The 26442-nt window shown below is 46.5% G+C and overlaps 1 long non-coding RNA gene across 2 annotated transcripts, besides 2 other annotated features; it reads left to right on the top strand.

Annotated features, from left to right (window-relative positions):
• Window positions 1–345: 345 nt before the first annotated feature.
• LOC107986763 (uncharacterized) lies at window positions 346–26084 on the top strand. Of its 2 annotated transcripts, none has more exons than XR_001745073.1 (3): window positions 346–704; window positions 8375–8510; window positions 26007–26084. It is a non-coding gene; the product is annotated as an uncharacterized LOC107986763 (long non-coding RNA). The 2 variants fall into 2 exon arrangements; XR_001745074.2 differs by lacking the exon at window positions 26007–26084 and adding an exon at window positions 9824–11294.
• Window positions 12203–12925: an enhancer, noted in NCBI's record as "H3K27ac hESC enhancer chr7:7014635-7015357 (GRCh37/hg19 assembly coordinates)". NCBI's record gives its function as "activates a minimal SCP1, AML or CMV promoter by ChIP-STARR-seq in primed H9 embryonic stem cells {active_cell/tissue: H9 hESC(primed)}" and the evidence as "EXISTENCE:reporter gene assay evidence [ECO:0000049][PMID:30033119]".
• Window positions 24694–25193: an enhancer, noted in NCBI's record as "H3K27ac hESC enhancer chr7:7002367-7002866 (GRCh37/hg19 assembly coordinates)". NCBI's record gives its function as "activates a minimal SCP1, AML or CMV promoter by ChIP-STARR-seq in naive and primed H9 embryonic stem cells {active_cell/tissue: H9 hESC(naive and primed)}" and the evidence as "EXISTENCE:reporter gene assay evidence [ECO:0000049][PMID:30033119]".
• Window positions 26085–26442: the final 358 nt, after the last annotated feature.

Raw genomic sequence — 26442 nt, 5'->3', positions numbered from 1 at the left:
TTTTCATAGAGATGGGGTTTCTCCATGTTGGTCAGGCTGGTCTTGAACTCCCGACCTCAGGTGATCCGCCCGCCTTGGCCTCCCAAAGCGCTGGGATTACAGGCGTGAGTCACCGTGCCCAGCCTGGATGAGGGTCTTTAGCAAAGATGGAAGTTTTGGTACCTTGCAGTTTAATCTCTTCATTTATGTCCTCCTGAAATCTTCAGGAATAGCACTATTTTGTCAATACTTCTGGGGTCGTACTTAGGGAGACTTAAAGGAGATGTGATGTGGCAGCCTTTGACTCAAGGGAGTATCATACTAGCTCAAAGAGATCTGGGTACATGCCAGTTGAACCAACTCTTTTGAGGATGTGGTAGATCCTGGGAGGCCACTCTGATCCTGCCAACCTTGAGGCCAGATGAGTCTTTGAAAAACATGGTTTGGCTTAACACCAGCACTTAGTCTAACACCCACCATGAATCTTGCTGAAGTGAAGCTATACAAATACCTTTTCAAAAGATTTTTTTTCATTCCAGATCCTTCTTAGAAATTCCTAAGGCTCAATGTTGTGTGGAAGATTCTGAGAAAGAAAATAGTTTCCGATCTTTGGGATTCCCCTGAGATGGTCCAATCTGCAAAAAGTTCATTGCCATTTCCATCAAGGACACTGAGAACAAGAGTCTTATCCGCATTGAATCCTGGGAATTGAGAAGCTTCAGCAGGTGGGAAATGCACCCTCCACAGGCTCAAACCCTTGTGGGCTGTTTCAGTTACCTATTGCACCTAAAATTAGAAACTTTAAACCACCTCAAGTCATTATTGCTCATGACCCTGTGAGTTGCATGGGGACTTCCTGGCTGTTTTAACCGGGGCTCATTTGTGTGGCTACCTGCAGCTGGAGGGCCAGCTGGGTGGAACATCCAGGACGACCTCATGCATGTGCCTGGCAGTTGGTGCTGGCTGTCAGCTGGGGAAACTTGTTTTCCTCCATGTGGCCCCTCGCCCTGCAGAACCCCTCTCCAAATGGCCCTTTAAGCAGGATAGCCAAGGTTTGCTTGGTGCCAGCATCCAAGAGGGCAAAAATATAGAAACTAGGAGAGGGCTCTCAAGGCCTAAGACTATATGCACCCCAAAAATCTGAGGTCTCAGTTAATTGAGAAAGTTTATTTTGCCAAGGTTGAGGACGCACGCCTGACACAGCCTCAGGAGGTCCTGACAATATGTGCCTAAGGTGGTGGGGACACAGCTTGGTTTGATACATTTTAGAGAGACATGAGACATCAATCAATATGTGTAAGATGTACATTGGTTCAGTCTGGAAAGTCGGGACAAGTCCAGGTGAAGGTGATGGTGAGACAAGGGGTAGGGGCTTCCAGGTCATAGGTAGTTAAGAGACAAATGGTTGCATTCTTTTGAGTTCCTGATTAGCCTCTCCAAATGAGGCAATCAGATATACATTTATCTCAGTGAGCAAAGGGGTAACTGAATAGAATGGGAGGCAGGTTTCCCCTAAGCAGTTCCCAGCTTGACTTTTCTCTTTAGCTTAGTAACTTTTTTTTGTTGGGGGGGACAGAGTCTCGCTCTGTTGCGCAGGCTGGAGTGCAGTGGTACCATCTCGGCTTACTGCAACCTCCAACTCCAGTGTTCAAGCAATTTCCCTGCCTCAGCATCCCAAGTAGCTGGGATTACAGGCGCCTGCCACCACGCCTGGCTAATTTTCATATATTTTAGTAGAGACGGGGTTTTGTCATGTTGGCCAGGCTGGTCTTGAACTCCTGACCTCAGGTGATCTGCCCGCCTCAGCTTCCCAAAGTGCTGGGAACTCCTGACCTCAGGTGATCCGCCTGCCTCAGCTTCCCAAAAGTGCTGGGATTACAGGTGTGAGCCACCGAGCCCAGCCTAGCTTAGTGATCTTGGGGACCCAAGGTTTATTTTCCTTTCACGGCTAGAAGTTGGTCACCATCACTTTGGCAGCATTCCACTGGCCAAAGCAAGTCATAGGCAGCCCAGATTTATGTAGAGAAATATAAACTCTACCTCTTAAAGGAAAGATTGGTTCGATTACACTGCACGAGCATTTGCAGAAAGTTGTACCCATCTTTGGAAACTACCATACACACACACACACACACACACACACACACACACAACTTTACATGTAACCCTCCCTTGAGGTGCATCTACTTCCAGGCAGAACCAAAACTTGACAGTACTCGACAGAAGAAAAGTAGGGTCCCAAATGCCAGTTCTCTTCTTACTCAACTTCAGCCTCATTATAAGCAGATTCTAACAGTTTATGTGTCTTGAGAAACATTTTAGTTAATCTTTGGAATTTAAGAATTTGAATTCATAGCAGTAGCCTGTGCATAGAAAATACGCATATTTTAAGTTTTTCCTTTCTGATAAATCATGCTGTGGGAACCACAATGTAACTTTTTTTTTTTTTTTGAGACCGAGTCTCACTCTGTTGCCCAGGCTGGAGGGCAGTGGCATGATCTCAGCTCACTGCAACCTCCGCCTTCTGGGTTCAAGTGATTCTCCTGCCTCAGCTTCCTGAGTAGCTGGGATTACAGGCACACAAGACGGGGTTTCACCATGTTGGTCATGTTGGTCTCGAACTCCTGACCTCTGATCTGCCCACCTCAGCCTCCCAAAGTGCTGGGATTATAGGCGTGAGCCACCCGCTTACTTATACTATAACTGTATATTGAAAGTTTCTCTTTTTTCAAAAATAATTAACAGGTTTAACAGAATGTATCTCCTGATCTATTCCTTTCACTGCAGACATCTATTGCCTTTTCAGCCTAGCAGCCCTCCCCTCTATAGAGACTCACACTTCCTACTCCAGTCACGTGGCTCTCATAGGGGCTGCCATATTCTTACATGACTCCACCCCTCTGGCCTCAGTTGATTGGTCCAGGGATGAGAATCTGGCCTAAATTGGCCAATCAGAATTCTTCCCTTGAATATTTTTCCAAACTGTAACTAGACCAATTTAATCATTCTCCGTGATGACAGGAACTGTGTGTAGTGAGAAATATAGGAGCTTTTGTGGCCACGTTTCTCACCTTATGGAGAAAAAGCTTGAGTAAGAAGAAATTAAGCCAGTATGCAGACAAAGCTAGAGACAGAGATAGAGAGAGAGATCTTATGGTAAACCCCTTGGTTTTTATCATTCTAGTACATGCTTGCTACTACATACAACCAAGACTTTCACCTGAGGGCTTTCTCAAAGTCAGGCATGGATTATGTCAGAAAAGCCACAGAAGCCAGGTACAGTGGTTCACTCCTGTAATCCCAACACTGGGAGGCCGAAGCAGGTGGATCACGAGGTCAGGAGTTTGAGACCAGACTGATCAACATGGCAAATCTCCGTCTCTACAAAAAATAAAAAAAATAGCAGGGCATGGTGGCAGGCACCTGTAATCCCAACTACTCAGGAAGCTGAGGCAAGAGAATCGTTTGAACCTGGGAGGCAGATGTTGCAGTGAGCCGAGATCATGCCATTGCAGTCCAGCCTGGGTAACAGAGCAAGACTATGTCTCAAAAAAAAAAAGAAAAAAGAAAAGCCAGAGAGTTGATGCCCTGGGACCTGTCCTCAGCCAGTGACGGATGGGAGCTAGGCTATAAATGCTTCAATATCTTTGCCCCCTGGATGGAACAACTTTGAAATGCATTCCACATCACCTCCCAGAGGTCCCCAGTGGGGTCAAATCCTAGTTGCCTGGAGTGGTAAGCTGCTCATTGAAGGCCCCTGTGTGGCCTCCTGCCTTTCCATGAATCAGTTCCTCACTCCCCTATTGGTGTTCCCTGGAATCATCTCCTAAATAATCCACTTGCAATCCTGTCCCTCTTTCAGGATCTGCTTGGGGTTGGGGAGTGCAGACAAAAACATGACCCCTTTTGTACTCCACACTAGTAAGATGAGTTTCTGTCACTGGCAACCAAGAGTTCTGACTATTACCTCCTTCTGAGATAATTCCTAAAATGTATTTGGGAATTTTCCCACCTCCACCCCACTGCCTATGTCATCAATATGTAGATTTCTTAACAAAGTTTAATGGTATTCTTTGACCAACCTCAAGTTTCACAAAACACACTACACTTTCATAAGAGCTCCCCATGACTGACAGATCAGCCGTTCAAAAGAAGGGAAGTGTCAGAGATGGCTCTGCTAGACTCACGTATTTTTCAGTAGAATCTGGGTCAGGATGGTGCGGTCAGAAGATGCTTCTGGAGCTCTGGGACCCACAAGCCTGCGTGTCCCACAGTGGAGTATTAGGACAACTTGAAAACATAGTCAGCAGTTCATCCTCCACCACACCCAATGTGTTCAATAGATATTGGTTAAATGAATAATAGGGCCGGGCATGGTGGCTCACGCCTGTAATCCCAGCACTTTGGGAGGCTGAGGCAGGTGGATCACCTGAGGTCAGGAGTTCAAGACCAGCCTGGCCATAGAGGCAGGGGAAGCACTTGAACCTGGGAGGCAGAGTTTACAGCACGCTGAGATGGCATCACTGTACTCCAGCCTGGGCGACAGAGCGAGACTCAAACAAAAAAATAATGGATTTATTCCTTCCAAACTGCAACTCACCAAAAGAAGACCAACACGCATCACAATGTTGTGGCCATAATCACCACAGTGACAATAATAAATATAATCAACTCTCGAGCCAGCCATCCCCACTAAACCTAGTGGGTCACATCTGGTGTTTCACTTTGGGGATGTTTTAGTGGTCATGGTAGATTGTTGTCTGACTGCTGGCTGTTTCTACCATGTTTCAGGAATATAGAGATGTGTACAGATGACCCCTAAAATTAATTAGTATGCAATTCTCAAAGAGACAAACTGTATCCCAGAAGCTACTGGAATGAAAAAAAAATGTTTTAATTCTCAAAGAGACAAACTAGATAGTAAAAGCATTTATGTTCCCTTGGAGAATCTTCCCACCAAGGACTCAAAGTTGTCTCCAGACCAGGGAATGCCTGGGGCCTTGGACGTTCCCAATTCTGGTATCACCTCCCATTCTCATTTAAGTCCAGTTTTCTCAGAGGAGCATACATTGTTCATTGCCACCAAGGGTATCCAAGGACACAAACTGAAGATAATAGTGCTTTATTGTCTCTCAGTCATCTTTCTCTCCCACCTGCTGGAAGGAGAGACAAGTCCAATTTATCCAATTACAAAATAGCAACATTGGCATCATGAGATCAGCTAACAAAACTTTCAGAGGCAATCTATCTTCCTACCAAAAGTAACCAACATCTGTGGAGCACTTACCATGACTAAGGGTCAACATAAGTGGTTTGCATGCTGCATGCATCAGGATGGACTAGGTTATGCTGCAGTAACAAATTAACCACAGAGACTCAGCAGCTTAGCAACCAAGGTTGATTTCTTACATTCCATGTCCACAATGGGTTGGCTGGGTACGGTGTGCTCCATATGGCCACTCGAAGACCTAGAATGATGGAAATTCTACCATCTTAATGCAAGGATTCTCCCATAGTTACTGCACCATGAGATGAGAGAATGAGATAGTTATCCCCAAGCCCTCAAAAGCTGTAGACTAGAGGTGAAGTCAGTGACTTCCACTTATAGAGCACTGGACCCTGGCATGGATCCATCTAACTACTGGGGGTCTGGTGAATACGGGGAGCACATGGAAATCCCATGAGCAGTAACCATTCCCGCCAGCATGCATTATTTCATCTGAACCTCACAACCCCATGGAATATATAACAGAGGCTTGGGGAGTTATGGGACCTGCCCCAAGGCGTCATAGATAATGAGTTGCAGAGCTGAGATATGACCCTCGGCCTGGCAGGATTCAAACCACTATGCTGCATACTCATCACAAAATTCTATGAAATTCCTCAGACAGCAAAACCCCACACCAAGTGAAAAGAAAGCCAAGTTGTGCAAATACACAATAGAACTCCCCTGACACTTCACCTCCTCACCCACCCCACCCCCACCGAAAGAATCAACCTACGCAAATAACTGGAATGAAATTCTCAGGCAATTTCAGCAGGGGAAATGGGGTTATCTCATCTGGGTCTCACATCCGACCTCGTCAAGACAAGACCTTCCCTAAACTTCACCTGAACACCTGGACACACTGTCATGTCTTGCCGCTTCTTGTTACTGGAAATCCAATGATGATGTCTTTATACAATTTATAGGTCTTTCTATAAGTGCCAAGATAAATGTCATCTCTGTACCTGCATATCATTCAGAGGTAGGCAAGCTTCTATGTAAACTGCTAGATAGTAAATATTATAAACTTTGCAGGACTCATCTGATCTCCATCCTATATAATTTTTTATTTTTGTTTTTTATAATTTTTTTTTCTTTTTAGATAGCGTCTAAAAAGAAAATAAAACTTATCCATGCTGTGATATGGATGAACGTTAAAAACATGCTGAGTGAAAGAAGCAGACATGAAAGGTCATATATTGTACAATTCCATTTATATGCAATGTTCAGACTAAGCCAATCGACAGAGGTAGAAAGTAGATGAGAGGTTTCCGAGGGCTGCAGAGGAGAGGGCATGGAGAGTGACTGCTGAATGGATATGAGGCTTCCAATTGAGGTGTTGAAAAAGCCCTGAAACTAGGTAGTGGTGATAATTGCACAACATGATAAATGTACAAAATGTCACTGAATTGTACACTTTCAGATGCACAAAATGGTAAAAGTTGCATATGTTATACCACAATTTTATTCATTTATTTTAGAGATAGAGTCTCACTCCGTCACCTAGGCTGCAGTGCAATGGCACAATCATAGCTCACTGCTGTCTTTACCGCCTGGGCTCAAGCAATCCTCCCACCTAGTCTTCCAAGTTTCTGGGACTACAGGTGAATCCTACCACACCCAGCTTTTTAAATTTTTTTTATAGAGTTGCATTCTCACTATATTGCCCAGACTGGCCCAAACTCCTGGATTCAAGTGATTCTCTCATCTCAGCCTCCCAAAGTGCTGGGATAACAGGTGTAAGCCATCAGGCCAGGCAATTTTTAATTCTTATGTGAAATTTTCAACTAATATATTCCTAGGATTAAAAAAATGTCGATCAACATGGGGATTAGAGGAAAAAATAATTTTAAACAAGAGAAAAAATTAAATGAGATGACGTATATGTATACAGTGCCTGGCCTCATGGTCACTGAGTCCACTGCAGCTTTTTTTTTTTTTTCCCCAGACAGGGTCTCACTCTGACACCCAGGCTGAGTACAGTGGCATAATCATGGCTTATTGCAGCCTCAACCTCCTGGACAAAAGTGATCCTCCCACCTCAGCCTCTAAAGTAGCTGGGACTACAGGTGCAGACAACCACACCTAGCTGTTTTTGTTGTTGTTTTTGTATTTTTTGGTAGTGGCAGGGTCTCACCATGTTGCCCAGGCTGGCATCTTGAACTCCCGGGCACAAGCGATTCTCCCACCTCAGCTTCCCAAAGTGCTGGGATTACAGGTGTGAGCCACCATGCCCATCCTGTTGTAGCTATTTTAATAGTGCTGGTGAAAAAAATTTGCTCTCCCTATAAAAACAGGACATACTAAGCCAAGGAAAGCACCAATCTAGTTTGTTCTCCCCAGATCTTCAAAATGTTGGAATTAGTATAAGAGTCCAAAATATTTCATGTGGCGAATTAGTATAAGAGTCCAAAATATTTCATGTAGTTTGATTTTTTTTTTCTTTGGAGATGCAGTCTCGTTCCATCGTCCAGGTTAGAATACAGTGGCACAATCTCGGCTCACTGCAACCTCCGCCTCCCGGGTTCAAGCAATTCTCCAGCCTCAGCCTCCCAAGTAGCTGGGATTACAGACATGTACCACCACGCCCGGCTAATTTTTGCATTTTTAGTAGAGATGGGATTTCTCCATGGGCCAGGCTGGTCTTGAACTCCTGACCTCAAATGATCTACCCATCTTGGCGTCCCAAAGTGCTGGGATTACAGGTGTAAGCCACCATGTCCGGCCAGTTTGATTTTTTATTGTGGTAAAGTACATACAAAATCTATTATTTTAGCCATTTTCAAAGGAAAAATTCAGTGGTGTTAAGTGCGTCCACCACATTGTACAACCATGTCCCCCATCCAACCCCAGAACGCTTTCATCCTGTCCTGCAAATATGCAGCACCTTGCTTCACTCCAGGTTGTCTGTCCCACAACAGAGCTGGGCTGAATTATTAATGTGGACTTTGTTCAACAACGGACTAAAGAGGGCGAAGCCCATGAACTCTGTGAGGAGTGCATGACAGGTGCTTGTAGGATGACATGGCTCGGTGCCCTCCAGCTGCTGCTGCCGCCGCCTGTCCTACTGGGTGGCCACCCCGTCCCAGGGAAGAAGAGCACTCACAGCTGCTGCTGATCACCTTCCAGGGCTTCCGCTGGAACTAGGATGAGGATGTGGACACCCCCAACCTGGACCATCTGGCCGAGGAGGGCGTCAAGGCCAAGTACCTCATGCCACCCCTTGTCACAATGACCTCCCCGTCCCACTTCACTGCCATCACAGGTAAGCGCCACTCTGCCCATTTCACCCGATGCCCATCAAAGCCCCAGCGTCCGTCATTCCCTGTGATAAGAAGCAAAAGCTCGGTCAGCTCTAGGGAGGCTGAGGAGGCTCCGGGGTCTCACTCTGTTGCCCAGACTGTGGCATAATCACAGCTCAGTGGAGCCTCAAACTCCTGGTGTCAAGCAGTCCTCCCTAGCTCAGGCTCCCCAGTAGCTGGGGATACAGACAAGCCACCGTGTCTAATTTTCTCATTTTCTTAGGAATTGGGGCAGGGGGTGTCTCACTATGTTGCCTAGGCTGGTTTTGAATTCCTGGCCTCAAGTGAACATCCCACCTCAGCTTCCCAAAGTGCTGAGATTGGAGACATGAGCTACCATGCCTGGCCTGATCTTTTTTAAAAAAGTAAATAGGGCCAGGCACAGTGACTCACCCCTGTAATCCCAGCACTTTGGGAGGCTGAGGTGGGTGGATCACCTGAGGTCAGGAGTTCAAGACCAGCCTGGCCAACATGGTGAAACGTCGTCTATCCTAAAAATACAAAAATAAGCTGGGCTTGGTGGCAGATGCCTATAACCACAGCTACTCGGGAGTCTGATACAGGAGAATCGCTTGAACCTGTGGGGTTGAAGTTGAAGTGAGCCAAGATCATGCCATTGCACTCCAGTTTGGGCAACAGAGAAAGATTTTGTCTCAAAAAAAATAAAAGTAATAAAAATAAAAAGGTAAATAACTAAAGTCACTTTTAAATAATTGTATAAAAATAATAAAACATTGACATTTACAGAGCTCAGTTAGATGAGGTGACTCATACCCTCCAATGGTGTTCTGGTTCTCTTACATGAGAATTCAAATGTCTTTCTGTGGCTCAAAAGATCCCACACAGCCTGGCGCCTGGCCCATCTTCTGCCAGCCTCTCTCATCTCTCTCCCTCTCCTTCACTTCCTTCCGGATCACAAAGGCCTTTTGCCTGTGCCTTCTGCCCTGCTCCCTCCAGCCCCAGAGTCTTGGCCTGTGTTAGTCCAGTCCCTCCAGCTCACCAGGAGCATGCAGTCCAGTCGGGGAGACAGACACCAGACACCCAAACAGACACATACATCCCGTGACAACTCGGGAGGCATCAAGGAGGAAAACGAGTTTTCCAGGCGCAGACTACAGGAGTAAACTGGCTTCAAACTAGAGAGGGAGAAAGGGGGTCTCTGAGCATGGGGCAGTTGAGCTGAAAGAGTTCTCAGGGGACCAGAACAAGGAAATGTGTTCCAGGCAGAGGGAAGAGCATGTGTCAGGTCTCTGAGACAAAGACCTGGTCATTTCAGAATCCCAGTGGCCACTAAAACAGAGGGATTCCAACCTAAAAAGGAGGAAAAGGAGGCTGCTGAAAAGCAAAGGACTCTGTGTAAGAATCATAATAGCGGAGGTGGAGCCAAGATGGCAGAATAGGAACAGCTCCAGTCTACAGTTCCCGGAGTGAGCGACGCAGAAGACAGGTGATTTCTGCATTTCCAACTGAGGTACTGGGTTCATCTCACTGGGGAGTGTCAGAAAGTGGGTGCAGGACACCTGGTGCAGTGCAGTGAGCATGAGTCCAAGCAGGGCGAGGCATTGCCTCACCGAGGAAGTGCAAGGGGTCAGAGAATTCCCTTTCCAGGTCAAAGAAATGGGTCACAGACGGCACCTGGAAAATCGGGTCACTTCCACCCTAATACTGCACTTTTCCAATGGTCTTAGCAAATGGCACACCAGGAGATTATATCCCATGCCTGGCTCAGAGGGCCCTACACCCATGGAGCCTCACTCATTGCTAGCACAGCAGTCTGAGATCAAACTGCAAGGTGACAGCAAGGCTGGGGGAGGGGCGCCTGCCATTGCCTAGGCTTCAGTAGGTAAACAAAGCAGCTGGGAAGCTCCAACTGGGTGGAGCCCAACACAGCTCAAGGAGGCCTGCCTGCATCTGTAGACTGCACCTCTAAGGGCAGGGCACTGGCAAACAAAAGACAGCAGAATCCTCTGCAGACTTAAATATCCCTGTCTGACAGCTTTGAAGAGAGTAGTGGTTCTCCCAGCACACAGCTGGAGATCTGAGAATGGACAGACTGCCTCCTCAAGTGGGTCCCTGACCCCCGAGTAGCCTAACTGGGAGGCACCCCACAGTAGGGGCAGACTGACACCTCACATGGCCGGGTACTCCTCTGAGACAAAACTTGCAGAGGAACAATCAGGCAGCAACATTTCCTGCTCACCAATATCTGCTGTTCTGCAGCCTCCACTGCTGATACCCAGGCAAACTCCAACAGACATGCAGCTGAGGGTCCTGACTCTCAGAAGGAAAACTAACAAACAGAAAGGACTTCCACACTAAAACCCCATCTGTACGTCACCATCATCAAAGACCAAAGGTAGATAAAACCACAAAGATGGGGAAAAAACAGAACAGAAAAACTGGAAACTCTAAAAATCAGAGTGCCTCTCCTGCTCCAAAGGAATGCAGCTCCTCACCAGCAATGGAACAAAGCTGGACAGAGAATGACTTTGATGAGTTGAGAGAAGAAGGCTTCAGATGATCAGATTACTCTAAGCTAAAGGAGGAAGTTTGAACCCATGGCAAAGAAGCTAAAAACCTTGAAAAAAAATTAGATGAATGGCTAACTAGAATAACCAATGCAGAGAAGTCCTTAAAGGACCTGATGGAGCTGAAAACCAAGACAGAAGAACTACGTGACAAATGCACAAGCCTCAGTAGCCAATTTGATCAACTGGAAGAAAGGGTATCAGTGATGGAACATGAAATGAATGAAATGAAGCGAGAAGAGAAGTTTAGAGAAAAAAGAATAAAAAGAAATGAACAAAGTCTCCAAGAAATATGGGACTATGTGAAAAGACCAAATCTACATCTGATTGGTGTACCTGAAAGTGACAAGGAGAATGGAACCAAGTTGGAAAACACTCTGCAGGATATTATGCAGGAGAACTTCCCCAATCTAGCAAGGCAGGCCAACATTCAACTTAAGGAAATACAGAGAACGCCACAAAGACACTCCTCAAGAAGAGCAACTCCAAGACACATAATTGTCAGATTCACCAAAGTTAAAATGAAGGAAAAAATGTTAAGGGCAGCCAGAGAGAAAGGTCGGGTTACCTACAAATGGAAGCCCATCAGACTAACAGCTGATCTCTTGGCAGAAACTCTACAAGCCAGAAGAGAGTGGGGGCCAATATTCAACATTCTTAAAGAAAAGAATTTTCATCACTGTAGCTCTCCCTCTCCCTCTCCCTCTCCCTCTCCCTCTCCCTCTCCCCACGGTCTCCCTCTGATGCCGAGTCAAACCTGGACTGTGCTGCTGCCATCTCAGCTCACTGCAACCTCCCTGCCTGATTCTCCTGCCTCAGCCTGCCGAGTGCCTGCGATTGCAGGCACGCGCTTCCACGCCTGACTGGATTTCGTATTTTTTTGGTGGAGACAGGGTTTCGCTGTGTTGGCTGGGCTGGTCTCCAGCTCCTAACTGCGAGTGATCCGCCAGCCTCGGCCTCGCAAGGTGCCGGGATTGCAGACGGAGTCTCGTTCACTCAGTGCTCAATGGTGCCCAGGCTGGAGTGCAGTGGCGAGATCTCGGCTCGCTACAACCACCTCCCAGCCACCTGCCTTGGCCTCCCAAAGAGCGGAGATTGCAGCCTCTGCCGGGCCGCCACCCCATCTGGGAAGTGAGGAGCGTCTCTGCCTGGCTGCCCATCGTCTGGGATGTGAGGAGCCCCTCTGCCTGGCTGCCCAGTCTGGAAAGTGAGGAGCGTCTCTGCCCGGCCGCCATCCCATCTAGGAAATGAGGAGCGTCTCTGCCCGGCTGCCCATCATCTGAAACGTGGGGAGTGCCTCTGCCCCGCCGCCCCGTCTGGGATGTGAGGAGCGCCTCTGCCCGGCCGTGACCCCGTCTGGGAGGTGAGGAGCGTCTCTGCCTGGCCGCCCCATCTGAGAAGTGAGGAGCCCCTCCGTCCGGCAGCCACCCCGTCTGGGAAGTGAGGAGCGTCTCCGCCGGGCAGCCACCCCGTCCGGGAGGGAGGTGGGGGTCAGCCCCCGCCAGGCCAGCCACCCCGTCCGGAAGGGAGGTGGGAGGGGTCACCCCCCGCCCAGCTAGCCGCCCCGTCCGGGAGGGAGGTGGGGGGGTCAGCCCCCCACCCGGCCAGCCGCCCCGTCTGGGAGGGAGGTGGGGGGGTCAGCCCCCCGCCCGGCCAGCCGCCCTGTCCGGGAGGTGAGGGGCGCCTCTGCCCGGCCACCCCTACTGGGAAGTGAGGAGCCCCTCTGCCCGGCCAGCTGCCCCGTCCGGGAGGGAGGTGGGGGGGTCAGCTCCCCGCCCGACCAGCACCCCATCCAGGAGGGAGGTGGGGGGGGTCAGCCCCCCGCCCGGCCAGCCGCCCCATCCAGCAGTGAGGTGGGGGGGTCAGCCCCCCGCCCGGCCAGCCGCCCCGTCCGGGAGTTGAGGGGCGCCTCTGCCCGGCCGCCCCTACTGGGAATTGAGGAGCCCCTCTGCCCGGCCACCACCCCGTCTGGGAGGTGTACCCAACAGCTCATTGAGAACGGGCCATGATGACAATGGCAGTTTTGTGGAATAGAAAGGGGGGAAAGGTGGGGAAAAGATTGAGAAATCGGATGGTTGCCGTGTCTGTGTAGAAAGAAGTAGACATGGGAGACTTTTCATTTTGTTCTGTACTAAGAAAAATTCTTCTGCCTTGGGATCCTGTTGATCTGTGACCTTACCCACAACCCTGTGCTCTCTGAAACATGTGCTGTGTCCACTCAGGGTTAAATGGATTAAGGGCGGTGCAAGATGTGCTTTGTTAAACAGATGCTTGAAGGCAGCATGCTCGTTAAGAGTCATCACCACTCCCTAATCTCAAGTACCCAGGGACACAAACACTGCGGAAGGCCGCAGGGTCCTCTGCCTAGGAAAACCAGAGACCTTTGTTCACTTGTTTATCTGCTGACCTTCCCTCCACTATTGTCCTATGACCCTGCCAAATCCCCCTCTGCGAGAAACACCCAAAAATGATCAATTAAAAAATAAATTAATTAATTAATTAATTAATTTTAAAAAAGAAATATAAAAAAATAAAATAAAGTCATCACTGTAGAAAAAAAAAAAGAAAAGAATTTTCAACCCAGAATCTCATATCCAGCCAAACTAAGCTTCATAAGCGAAGGAAAAATAAAATACTTTACAGACAAGCAAATGCTGAGAGATTTTGTCACTACCAGGCCTGCCCTGCAAGAGCTCCTGAAGGAAGCACTGAACATGGAAAGGAACAACTGGTACCAGCCACTGCAAATTGGTACCAGCCACATGCCAAATTGTAAAGACCATCAAGGCTAGGAAGAAACTGCAACTAATGAGCGAAATAACCAGCTAACATCATAATGACAGGATCAAATTCACACATAACAATATTAACCTTAAATGTCAATGGGTAAATTCTCCGATTAAAAGACAGACTGGCAAATTGGATAAAGAGTCAAGACCCATCAGTGTGCTGTATTCAGAAAACCCATCTCATGTGCAGAGACACACCTAGGCTCAAAATAAAGGGATGGAGGAAGATCTACCAAGCAAATGGAAAACAAAAAAAAGGCAAGTGTTGCAATCCTAGTCTCTGATAAAACAGACTTTAAACCAACAAAGATCAAAAGAGACAAAGAAGGCCATTACATAATGGTAAAGAGATCAATTCAACAAGAAGAGCTAACTATCCTAAATATATATGCACCCAACACAGGAGCACCCAGATTCATAAAGCAAGTCTTTAGAGGCCTACAAAGAGACTTAGACTCCCACAAAATAATAATGGGAGATTTTAACACCCCACTGTCAACATTAGACAGATCAAGGAGACAGAAAGTTAACAAGGATATTTAGGAATTGAACTCAGCTCTTCACCAAGCGGACCTAATAGACATCTACAGAACTCTCCACCCCAAATCAACAGAATATACATTCTTCTCAGCACCACACTGCACTTATTCCAAAATTGACCACATATTTGGAAGTGAAGCACTCCTCAGCAAATGTAAAACAACAGAAATTATAACAAACTGTCTCTCAGACCACAGTGCAATCCAACTAGAACTCAGGATTAAGAAACTCACTCAAAACTGCTCAACTACATGAAAACTGAACAACCTGCTCCTGAATGACTATGGGTACATAACTAAATGAAGGCAGAAATAAAGATGTTCTTTGAAACCAATGAGAACAAAGACACAAAGTACCAGAATCTCTCAGACACATTCAAAGCAGTGTGTAGAGGGAAATTTATAGCTCTAAATGCCCACAAAAGAAAGCAGGAAAGATCTAAAATTGGCACCCTAACATCACAATTAAAAGAACTACAGAAGCAAAGAGCAAACACATTCAAAAGCTAGCAGAAGGCAAGAATAACTAAGATCAGAGCAGAACGGAAGTAAATAGAGACACCAAAAACCCTTCAAAAAATCCATGAATCCAGGAGCTGGTTTTTTGAAAAGATCAAAAAAACTGATAGACCACTAGCAAGACTAATAAAGAAGAAAAGAGAGAAGAATCAAATAGACACAATAAAAATTGATAAAGGGGATATCACCACCAATCCCACAAAAATACAAACTACCATCAGAGAATACTGTAAACAACTCTTCGCAAATAAACTAGACAATCTAGAAGAAATGGATAAATTCCTCGACACATATACCCTCCCAAGACTAAACCAGGAAGAAGCTGAATCTCTGAATAGACCAATAACAGGCTCTGAAATTGAGGCAATAATTAACAGCTTACCAACCAAAAAAAAGTCCAGGAACAGACGGATTCACAGCTGAATTCTACCAGAGGTACAAGGAGGAGCTGGTACCATTCCTTCTGAAACTATTCCAGTCAATAGAAAAAGAGGGAATCCTCCCTAACTCATTTTATGAGGCCAGCATCATCCTGATACCAAAGCCTGGCAGAGACACAACAAAAAAGAGAATTTTAGACCAATATCCCCGATGAATATCAATGCAAAAATCCTCTATAAAATACTGGCAAACCGAATCCAGCAGCACATCAAAAAGCTTATGACCATGATCAAGTGGGCTTCCTCCCTGGGATGCAAGATTGGTTCGACATACACAAATCAGTAAACATAATCCAGCATATAAACAGAACCAATGACAAAAACCATATGATTATCTCATTAGATGCAGAAAAGTCCTGTGACAAAATTCAACAACCTTCAGGCTAAAAATTCTCAATAAATTAAGTATTGATGGGACGTATCTCAAAATAATAAGAGCTATCTATGACAAACCCACAGCCAATATCATACTGAATGGGCAAAAACTGGAAGCATTCTCTTTGAAAATTGGCACAAGATAGGGATGCCGTATCTCACCACTCCTATTCAACATAGTGTTGGAAGTTCTGGCCAGGGCAATCAGGCAGGAGAAGGAAATAAAGGGTATTCAATTAAAAAAAGAGGAAGTCAAATTGTCCCTGTTTGCAGATGACATGATTGTATATCTGGAAAACCCCATTGTCTCAGCCCAAAGTCTCCTTAAGATGATAGGCAACTTCAGCAAAGTCTCAGGATACAAAATCAATGTGCAAAAATCACAAGCATTCTAATATACCAATAACAGACAAACAGCCAAATCATGAGTGAACTCCCATTCACAATTGCTTCAAAGAGAATAAAATACCTAGGAATCTAACTTACAAGGGATGTGAAGGAACTCTTCAAGGAGAACTATAAACCACTGCTCAACAAAATAAAACAGGACACAAACAAATGGAAGAACATTCCATGCTCATGAGTAGGAAGAATCAATATCATGAAAACGGCCATACGGCCCAAGGTAATTTATAGATTCAATGCCATCCCCCCATCAAGTTACCAATGACTTTCTTCACAGAATTGGAAAAAACTGCTTTAAAGTTCATATGGAACCAAAAAAGAGCCCACATTGCCAAGTCAATCCTAAGCCAAAAGAACAAAGCTAGAGGCATCATGCTACCTGACTTCAAACTATACTACAAGGCTACAGTTACCAAAACAGCATGGTACTGGTACCAAAACAGAGATATAGACGAATGGAACAGAACAGAGCCCTCAGAAATAATGCCACATATCTACAACCATCTGATCTTTGACAAACCTAACAAAAACAAGCAATGGGGAAAGGATTCCCTATTTAATATATGGTGCTGGGAAAACTGGCTAGCCATATGTAGAAAGCTGAAACTGGATCCCTTCCTTACACCTTACACAAAAATTAATTCAAGATGGATTAAAAACTTAAATGTTAGACCTAAAACCATAAAAACCCTAGAAGAAAACCTCAGCAATACCATTCAGGACATAGGCCTGGGCAAGGACTTCATGTCTAAAACACTAAAAGCAATGGCAACAAAAGCCAAAATTAACAAATGGGATCTAATTAAACTAAAGAGGTTCTGCACAGCAAAAGAAACTACCATCAGAGTGAACAGGCAACCTACAGAATGGGAGAAAATTTTTGCAATCTACTCATCTGACAAAGGGCTAATATCAAGAATCTACAATGAACTCCAACAAATTTACAAGAAAAAAACAAACAACCCATCAAAAACTGGATGAAGGATATGAAAAGACACTTATCAAAAGCAGACATTTATGCAGCCAAAAGACACGTCAAAAAATGCTCATCATCACTGGCCAGAGAAATGCAACTCAAAACAACAATGAGATACCATCTCACACCAGTTAGAATGGCAATCATTAACAAGTCAGGAAACAACAGGTGCTGGAGAGGATGTGGGGACATAGGAACACTTTTACACTGTTGGTGGGACTGTAAACTAGTTCAACCATTGTGGAATTCAGTGTGGCAATTCCTCAGGGATCTAGAACTAGAAATACCATTTGACACAGCCATCCCATTTCTGGGTATATACCCAAAGGATTATAAATCATGCTGCTATAAAGACACATGAACACGTATGCTTATAGCAGCACTACTCACAATAGCAAAGACTTGGAACCAAGCCAAATGTCCAACAACAGTAGACTGCATTAGGAAAATGTGGCACATATACACCATGGAATACTATGCAGCCATAAAAAATGATGAGTTCATGTCCTTTGTAGGGACATGGATGAAGCTGGAAACCATCATTCTCAGCAAACTATTGCAAGGACGAAAAACCAAACACCGCATGTTCTCACTCATAGGTGGGAATTAAACAATGAGAACACATGGACACAGGAAGGGGAATATCACACACCGGGGCCTGTTGTGGGGTCGGTGGAGGAGGGAGGGATAGCATTAAGAGATATACCTAATGTGAAATGACGAGTTAATAGGTACAGCACACCAACAAGGCACATGTATACATATGTAACAAACCTGCACGTTGTACACATGTACCCTAAAACTTAAAGTATAATAAAAAATAAAAAATGAAATAAAAACTTTTGCTGTTGACTCCAAATATCCTGCTTCATCATCTCTCCACTCCAGAAACTTTTCACATACTTACAAAGGGTGTTCGTTTCTCCTCTAAGTATTTGCCCCCCAGCCCCACATGCAAGAAGGTGGAAGTAGGGCCTCTGCCTGGGATGGTAACTCTCAAATATAAGGCAAGACCTGTCTCTCCTCCAATATCCCAAGGACTGAAGGACTGTGAAAGTCTGCATATTGATCAAGCTTCTCCCTCCCTTATCTGAAGGGACTTACTTCCTTCAAGACACTTTTCCTCTTCCCACCTAACTCCATGCCCCCATCCAGTCATCTTCCAACCCATCTCTCCCCACCTGCATGCCACACAAGAGGGGCATGACCACAGAACCTGGAAGTTCCTTAAAATTGAATAGTACGTCAGGCCAGGTGCAGTGGCTCATGTCAGTAACCCCAGCACTTTGGGAGGCTGAGGAAGGCAGGTAACTTGAGGTCAGCAGTTCGAGACCAGCCTGGCCAAAATGGTGAAACTCCATCTCTACTAAAAATACAAAAATTAGCTGGGTGTGTTTGTGCATGCCTGTAGTCCCAGCTACTTGGGTGGCTGAGGCAAGGGAATCACTTGAACCTGGGAGGCAGAGGTTACAGTGAGCCAAGATTGCACCATTGCACTCCAGCCTGGGCGATAGAGTGAGTCTCTGTTTCAAAGAAAAAAAAAAAAAAAAGAATTCGAGTGGTGTGATTAGCTTATGATTTTTTAAAAATGGAATGATGTATTCATTTTCTAAGCTGCATAACAAATCAACACAAATTTAGCAGCTTAAAACACCCATCTATTCCCTCTCCTTTCCTGTGGGTCAGGAGTCTGGGGGTGCAGCTTTAGCTGGGCCCTCTGCTCAGGTTCTTACAAGGTTGTGATCAAGGTGTTGGCGGGAATTAGTGTCTCCTATGAGGCTTGGGGTCTTCTCCCAACCTCACATGGTTGTTGGCAGAATTTATTTCCATGCAACTGTGGAACTCATGTGGCTGGCTTCTTCAAAACCAGCCAGGCATGGTGGCTCACGCCTGTAATCCCAGCACTTTCGGAGGCCGAGGCAGATGGATCACCTGAGGTCAGGAGTTCGAGACCAGCCTGGCCAATATGGTGAAACCCCGTCTCTACTAAAAATACAAAACTTAGCCGGGCATGATTGCGCACGCCTGTAATCCCAGCTACTTGGGAAGCTGAGGCAGGAGAATCACTTGAACCCAGGAGGCAGAGGTTGCAGTAAGCCGAGATTTTGCCACTGCACTCCAGCCTGGGCAACAGAGTGAGACTCCATGTCAAAAACAAATAAACAAACAAAAACCAGGAGGAAGGAGTCTCTCTCCTCCAGACCCTCATTGAAGATCTCACCTATAGATGTCAGGCCCACCCTGAATAATCTCCCTTTTGATTAACTCAAAGTGAATGGATTAGGGGCTTAGTTACATCTGCAAAATCCCTTCAACTTTTCCATAGGTATAGATTAGAAACAAGACGCGGGTCCTGCCTACACTCCAGGGGAGAGGAGATTACACCTGGCATTTATCCAGGGCAAGAACCTAAGGGGTCATCTCAGAATTCTGCCCTCCAAATAGATCCTCGGTGGAGCTCACATGCCTGGGAGAGCACCAGCCTTTGTTTAAAGGCAACAGAGAATGATGCCCTGGCTCAGATCTCCAGCAAGCCTCCAAAATGATGGTCCAGTCTCTGAACCCAGGGCCAAGGCAGCAGGAGCTTTGGGTGCACATGGGGGCTTCCCCCACTTTCAAGTGAGTCGTCACATCTGTATTAGACCCTAGCTGTTGCTTAGGCAAAAATGATGATTTAGAAGAAGATGGAGAGAAGAGGAGAGTTAATTTAAACGTACTTATATTCGGCCGGGTGTGGTGGCTCATGCCTGTAATCCCAGCACTTTGGGAGGCTGAGGCAGGCGGATCACGAGGTCAGGAGATGGAGACCATCCTGGCTAACAGGGTGAAATCTCTTCTCTATTAAAAATACAAAAAATTAGCTGGGCATGGTGGCGGGTGCCTGTAGTCCAAGCTACTTGGGAGGCTGAGGCACGAGAATGGCGTGAACCCAGGAGGCAGAGATTGCAGTGAGCGGAGATCCCGCCACTGCACTCCAGCCTGGGCAACAGATCGAGACTCCGTCTCAAAAAAAGAAAAAAGAAAGAAAGTACTTATATTCATTCCCTAGGGCTGCCACAACCAAGTACCAAAAGCTGGGTGACTTGAAACCAGAGAAATTGATTGTCTTGTGGCTCTGGTGGCCAGCAGTCTGAAATGGAAGTGCCAGCAGGGCCACGTTCCCTCCTGTACTTGTCAGGGATTCCTGCCTTGCCTCTTCCTAGCTTTCTGTGGTTTCCTGGCAGTCTTCAGTGTTCCTTGGTTTGCATACGCATCAGTCCAATCTTCTGTCCAATCCATGGCCTTCTTCCCTGTGTCTCTGTGACTCGGTGTGTCCTCTCCTCTTTTATAAGGACACCAGTCATTGACTTAGGCCCTCCCTACTCCAGGATGACTTCATCCTAATCAACAGCATCTGCAATAACCTTATTTCTTTCTTTCTTTCTTTTTTTTGAGAGGGACTTTCACTCTTGTTGCCCAGGCTGGAGTGCAATAGCGCGGTCTCAGCTCAATGCAACCTCCGCCTCCTGGGTTCAAGCGATTCTCCTGCCTCAGCCTCCCGAGTAGTTGGGATTACAGGTATGGGCCACCACACCCAGCTAATTTTGAATTTTTCGTAGAGATGGGGTTTCTCCATGTTGGTCAGGCTGGTCTCAAACTCCTGAACTCAGGTGATCCACCCGCCTCGACCTCCCAAAGTGTTGGGATTACAGGCATGAGCCACCACGCCCGGTCCGCAATAACTCTATTTCTAAATAAGGTCACATTCTGAGCTGCTGGAATTTAGGATTTCAACATGTTTTGAGGAGGACTCAATTTAACCCGTAAGAATACTATGTGGACCACACATGCTGCTTCACATCTGTTATCCCAGCACTTTGGGAGGTTGAAGCAGGAGGATCATTGCTCAGGGCGTAGGGGACACCAGGTGCATAAGACCACAGCGTTGACTGGTGTGGGGGCTCACACCTGTAAGTTTGGGAAGCTAAGGTAGGACGATCACTTGAGCCCAGGAGTTTGAGGCCAGTCTGGGTGACATAGTGAGACCTCATTTCTAAAAAAAAAAAATTAATTAGCTGGGCTTGGTGGTAGCCACCTACAGTCCCAGCTACTCAGGAGGCTGAAGCAGGAGGGTCGCTTGAGTCCAGAAGATCAAGGCTGTGGCGAGCTGTGATTGCAACCCTGCACTCCAGCCTGGGCAATAGAGCAAGCCCTGTCTCAAAAAAAAAAAAAAAAAAAAAAAGGCATCTCCCTTGTCTTCTGATTCCCTGAGCTGTCATAGAAAGGAAGTGAAGCAGAGAAAGCATCCCCACGAAAGGGAATTTTCAAAACCAGCCTAAGCAACATAGCAAGATCTTGCCTTTAGAAAGTATTTAAATTGGAAGGAAAAAAAAAAAAGCAGTACTATAGCACAGAGTTGACAGCTACAGGTGTGGCTACATCCAGGTCCTAAAACTATATCATCAGAATGACCCCTCACCCTCCCCCCGCTTTCCATTTTACTTTCTTAAGCATGAACATGAAATTTCCAAGATTGTCTCTCCTTTGGCTAATCTGCTTCTCAGACCCAATCACTGTGGCCAGGGTGGTGGAAGGACACTGGCATCCAGGCTGGGACCACATGCCCCAGCTCCAGATCAGGGTGGGGAATAGCCAGTGGCACACATGCCATGGGGGACTAGTGACTCCTCAGTGGAAAATCGGGGACTGTCATTGGAGAGCAGCGATAGAAGAAAGGCTGACACAGTGCAATGTATCTCCTGCACCAGCCTGGGCCTCGATGTCTTGAGTACTGATGACACAGTACTCAGTCCAGGGCAATCCCAACTCCATCTGCGGGGCTGCCCACAGTACATGAACCCCTCACTGGATTTGCTGACCACACGTGCAAACAGCCACCTCCCAGCCCCACTCCCCGCAGTCTCCCTGAACCCTGTCAAAATTCCCCTCAGTTCTCACCAAGATTAAAAGCAATTCTGAGGGTGAGCGGCTCATTCTGCTAGTTTAACTCTCTCAATTCCTTCTCTCTCCAGAACTCTGTACTTACTGCTCCATCACTGGTAATGACAATGAACATCTTCACAATCTCAGGTTTTATTGCAAAGTGATTGAGGACCAGTTAGAATAAGTTATGCTACAGAAACTAAAGAAATCCCATCAAGCAAATGGTGTGTCATTGAAAGTCTTAGGACAGCTGTGTATATTCTCTCCCCCAATGAATCAATTGAAAATGAGAAGCTCTTACCGCCATGTTCCGGGCAGAATCTATCAAAAGTATAAGCCATGATATTATAATTTGATGATTTTTCATCCGTCAAATGGATATGGCCCAGGGGAGAAAAGTGGACGCTCCGTAACTAGATGATGGTCAAGAGTTATAAAAATGAGGTCCTCTCTGTTCAACATTTCTCCTTTCTTGAAAGGATACTCAATGTCACGCTCAGGGCCTCTAATGGCCAGAGATAAAATTCCTCCCAGTTCCAGAGCACCCCAGGGCAACCCCAAAACCAGAGCAACTGCTTATTGCCACGTAGACTATGTACTGTGCAATTCCTGGGGTGGCATTTTCATAAATATGTGGGTGGCGCCCCCTGGAGGTATGTAATGCACAACTTGCACAAACGGTAAGTCATCGTATCCCAAAGTCCACAAAGAAGAGGTAAGCAAAACTCCCATCGATGTTGCCATCAGTCATGAGTCTGCCTTTTCTTCATGGGACAGTAGCAAAAACAATTTGGCCAAGTGTGCTTGGATGATCTCTAAGATGGAATCAGGGTCTCTCACTTTCAGCACTATTGACATTTGGGGCTGGATCATTCTTTTGTCTTAGTGGGAGTTGTCCGGGGCATTGTAGGATGTTTAGTAGCATCCCTGGCCTCTACCCATTAGCTGCCAGTAGCACCACCTCCTCCAGCCGCAACCACCAAAATTGTCTCCAGACATGGCCACATGTTCTCTGGGGGGCAAAATCACCCCCTGGCTGAGAAGCCCTGAAGTAAAGACATAATACGCAGATCACATGTAAGTAAGAGAGCCTAAGGGCCACACAGGTGATGCTGTACCCCTGACAAAGCCAGAGTCTTAAAGAGGTTAGAGAGGTGGAGAAAGAGAAAGGAAATGAAGTCCCAGCTGCCGAGAGCAACAGATGCTGACTAGATGTTGTTGATAGTCATCTTTAAACTGAGGTTAAAAGATGCTGAGAAGCCATCAGCTCCCATCCTGCTCTCCAGGGACAACGCTGCTGAAAAAGGCCTGGAGATCAACAAAGCCCCAAACACAGCTGCACTGAGCAAAGAAACCAGAGATTGAGACAAAATGACATTCCCTCAAAGACTACTCATTTCCAAGAGGGGAGAAAAAGTGGAGTCATGAAAAACAGTTGAGGCTGGATAGAGTGAATCACACCTGTAATCCCAGCACTTTGGGATTACTCCCAGGCTGAGACGGGAAAATTGCTTGAACTCAGGAGTTCAAGACCAGCCTGGGCAAAATAGCAAGACCTTGCCTCTAGAAAAAGGGAAAAAAATTAGCCAGGTGTGATGATACACGCCTGTGGTCTCAGCTACTCGGGAGGCTGAGGTGGGAGGATCGCTTGAACCCAGGAGGTAGAGGCTGCAGTGAGCCGGGATTGCACCACTGCACTCCAGCCTGGGCTACAGATCTTGTCTCAAAAAAGAAAAAAATTAAACAAAATTAAGGCCGGGCACGATTGCTCATGCCCGTAATCCTAGCACTTTGGGAGGCCAAGGTGGGCAGATCACGAGGTCAGGAGATTGAGACCATCCTGGCTAACACGGTGAAACCCCATCTCTACTAAAAATACAAACAATTAGCCGGATATGGTGCTGGGTGCCTATAGTCCCAGCTACTCTGGAGGCTGAGGCAGAAGAATGGAGTGAACTCGGGAGGTGGAGCTTGCAGTGAGCCAAGATCACCCCACTACACTCCAGCCTGGGCAAAAAAGCAAGACCCTATCTCAAAAAAAAAAGAAAATTGAAAATTTTTTTGAGACCAAGTCTCACTCTGTCACCCAGGCTGGAGTGAAATGCTGCGATCTCCACTCACTGCAACCTCCGCCTCCTGGGTTCAAGTGATTCTCATATCTCAAACTCTTACCTCAACATGACTACAGGCATGTTGTCACCATGCCTAATTTTTGCATTTTTAGTAGAGATGGGGTTTCACCATGTTGTCCAGGATGGTCTTGAACTCCTAGGTTCAAGCAATCTACCCACCTCAGCCTCCCAAAATGCTGAGATTACAGGCATGAGCCACCGTGCCCGACCTCTAACTTTTCATTATGGAAATTTCCCATACGCACAAAAAGCAGGGAGAGAATTGCACGATGAACCCCCATGCACCCATCATCCCACTGCAAGAACTTGTCAACATTTCGCCAATCTCATTCCAGTTCCCACTTTTCTTTTCCTTCTTGCTATTTTAGGATATTTTAAAGCAAATTCCAGACATTTCATTTCACCCACATCCATAACACGCCAGGGTGCATTCTTGATGTAAGGATTTTGTTTTGTTTTATAACACCCATGACATTGCCACACTTAATTGATTTAACATGAAGAAACTAAGATTCTTGCAGGTGGAGAAAAGATCTAATTACCACCTTAAAGCCTCTCCTACTAGCGCTTCTCAGATCTGAACGTGTATGCAAATCACGTGGGCATCTTGTTAAAATGCAGATTCTGGCCCAGCAGGTCCTTCCGGGTGAGCCCTGAGAGTCTTCAATTCCAAAAGCTCCCTGGTGACGCAATGCTGTGGGTCCATGAATCACACTAGAGGAAGGGTCGGCCAAACACCCACAACAACTGGGTGCAAAGTCCTGACTGTTCCTGACTGCAGGGCCTTCAGTGAACGGGGAAGCTGGGGACCATTAGGGAAAGAAGGGAGGTTTTTCGTATCAGCTCCAGGCCTTGTAGAACTGCCAGGGAATAACAGACACAAGGGCAGCAAAGTCTAACCAACAGCACGAGTTCATTCATATTCCACAACCACTGCAGCAAAGAACCATGAAATGGGTGGCTTCAAACAATGTCTGGGCCGGGTGCCGTGGCTCACACCTAAATAATCTCAGCACTTTGGGAGGCTGAGGTGGGTGGATCACTTGAGGCCAGGAATTCGAGACCAGCCTGGCCACTATGCCAAAACCTCGTCTCTACTAAAAATACAAAAATTAGCCATGCATGGTGGCAGGCACCTGTAGTCCCTGCTTCTTGGGAGGCTGAGGCAAGAGAATGGCTTGAGCCTGGGAGGCGGAGGTTGCAGTGAACTGAGATCGTGCCACTGCACTCCAGACTGGGCAACAGAGCAAGCCTCTGTCTAAAAAAAAAAAAAAAAAAAAAAAATTGTCTGGAAGCCAGAAGTCCAAAATCAATCAAATGTCAGCAGGAGCATGCTTCTTCAGAGGTTCTAGAGGTGAATCCATTCCTTGCCTCTTCCAGCTTGTAGAGGCTACTAGAATTCCTCAACTTGTGGCTGCATGATCCATTCTTTGCCTCTGTGATCACCTTGCCTCCTCCTCTTCTGTCTGGGTCTCCTCCTCTGGAGGAAGAGTGTCAGGCCTCTGAGCCCAAGCTAAGCCATCATATCCACTGTGACCTGCATGTACATACCCAGGTGGCCAGTTCCTGCCTTAACTGATGACATTATCTTGTGAAATTCCTTCTCCTTGCTCATCCTGGCTCAAAAGCCCCCCTACTGAGCACCTTGTGACCCCCACTCCTGCCTGCCAGAGAACAACCCCCCTTTTTCCTTTACCTACCCAAATCCTGTAAAATGGCCCCACCCCTATCTCCCTTCACTGACTCTCTTTTTGGACTCAGCCCACCTGTACGCAGGTGACATAAACAGTTTTATTGCTCACACAAAGCCTCTTTGGTGGTCTCTTCACACAGATGCATGTGAAATTAGGTGCTGTGACTCAGATCGGGGGACCTCCCTTGGGAGATCAATCCCCTGTCCTCCTGCTCTTTGCTCTGTGAGAAAGATCCACCTACGACCTCAGGTCCTCAGACTGACCAGCCCAAGCAACATCTCACCAATTTCAAATCTGGTAAGCGGCTTCTTTTTACTCTCTTCTCCAACCTCCCTCACTATCCCTCAACCTCTTTCTCCTTCCAATCTTGGCATCACACTTCAATATCTCCCTTCTCTTAATTTCAATTCCTTTCATTTTCTGGTAGAGACAAAGGAGACACGTTTTATCCGTGGACCCGAAACTCCGGCGCTGGTCATGGACTAGGGAAGGCAGCCTTCCCTTGGTGTTTAATCATTGCAGGGACGCCTCTCTGATTATTCACCCAGGTTTCAGAGGTGTCAGACCACGCAGGG

The sequence above is a fragment of the Homo sapiens genome, chromosome 7 (genome assembly GCF_000001405.40).
Source record: "Homo sapiens chromosome 7, GRCh38.p14 Primary Assembly".
Lineage (NCBI taxonomy): Eukaryota > Metazoa > Chordata > Mammalia > Primates > Hominidae > Homo > Homo sapiens.
The sequence above is the reverse complement of the archived record's forward strand: the minus strand, read 5'-3'. Positions and strand labels throughout refer to the sequence as shown.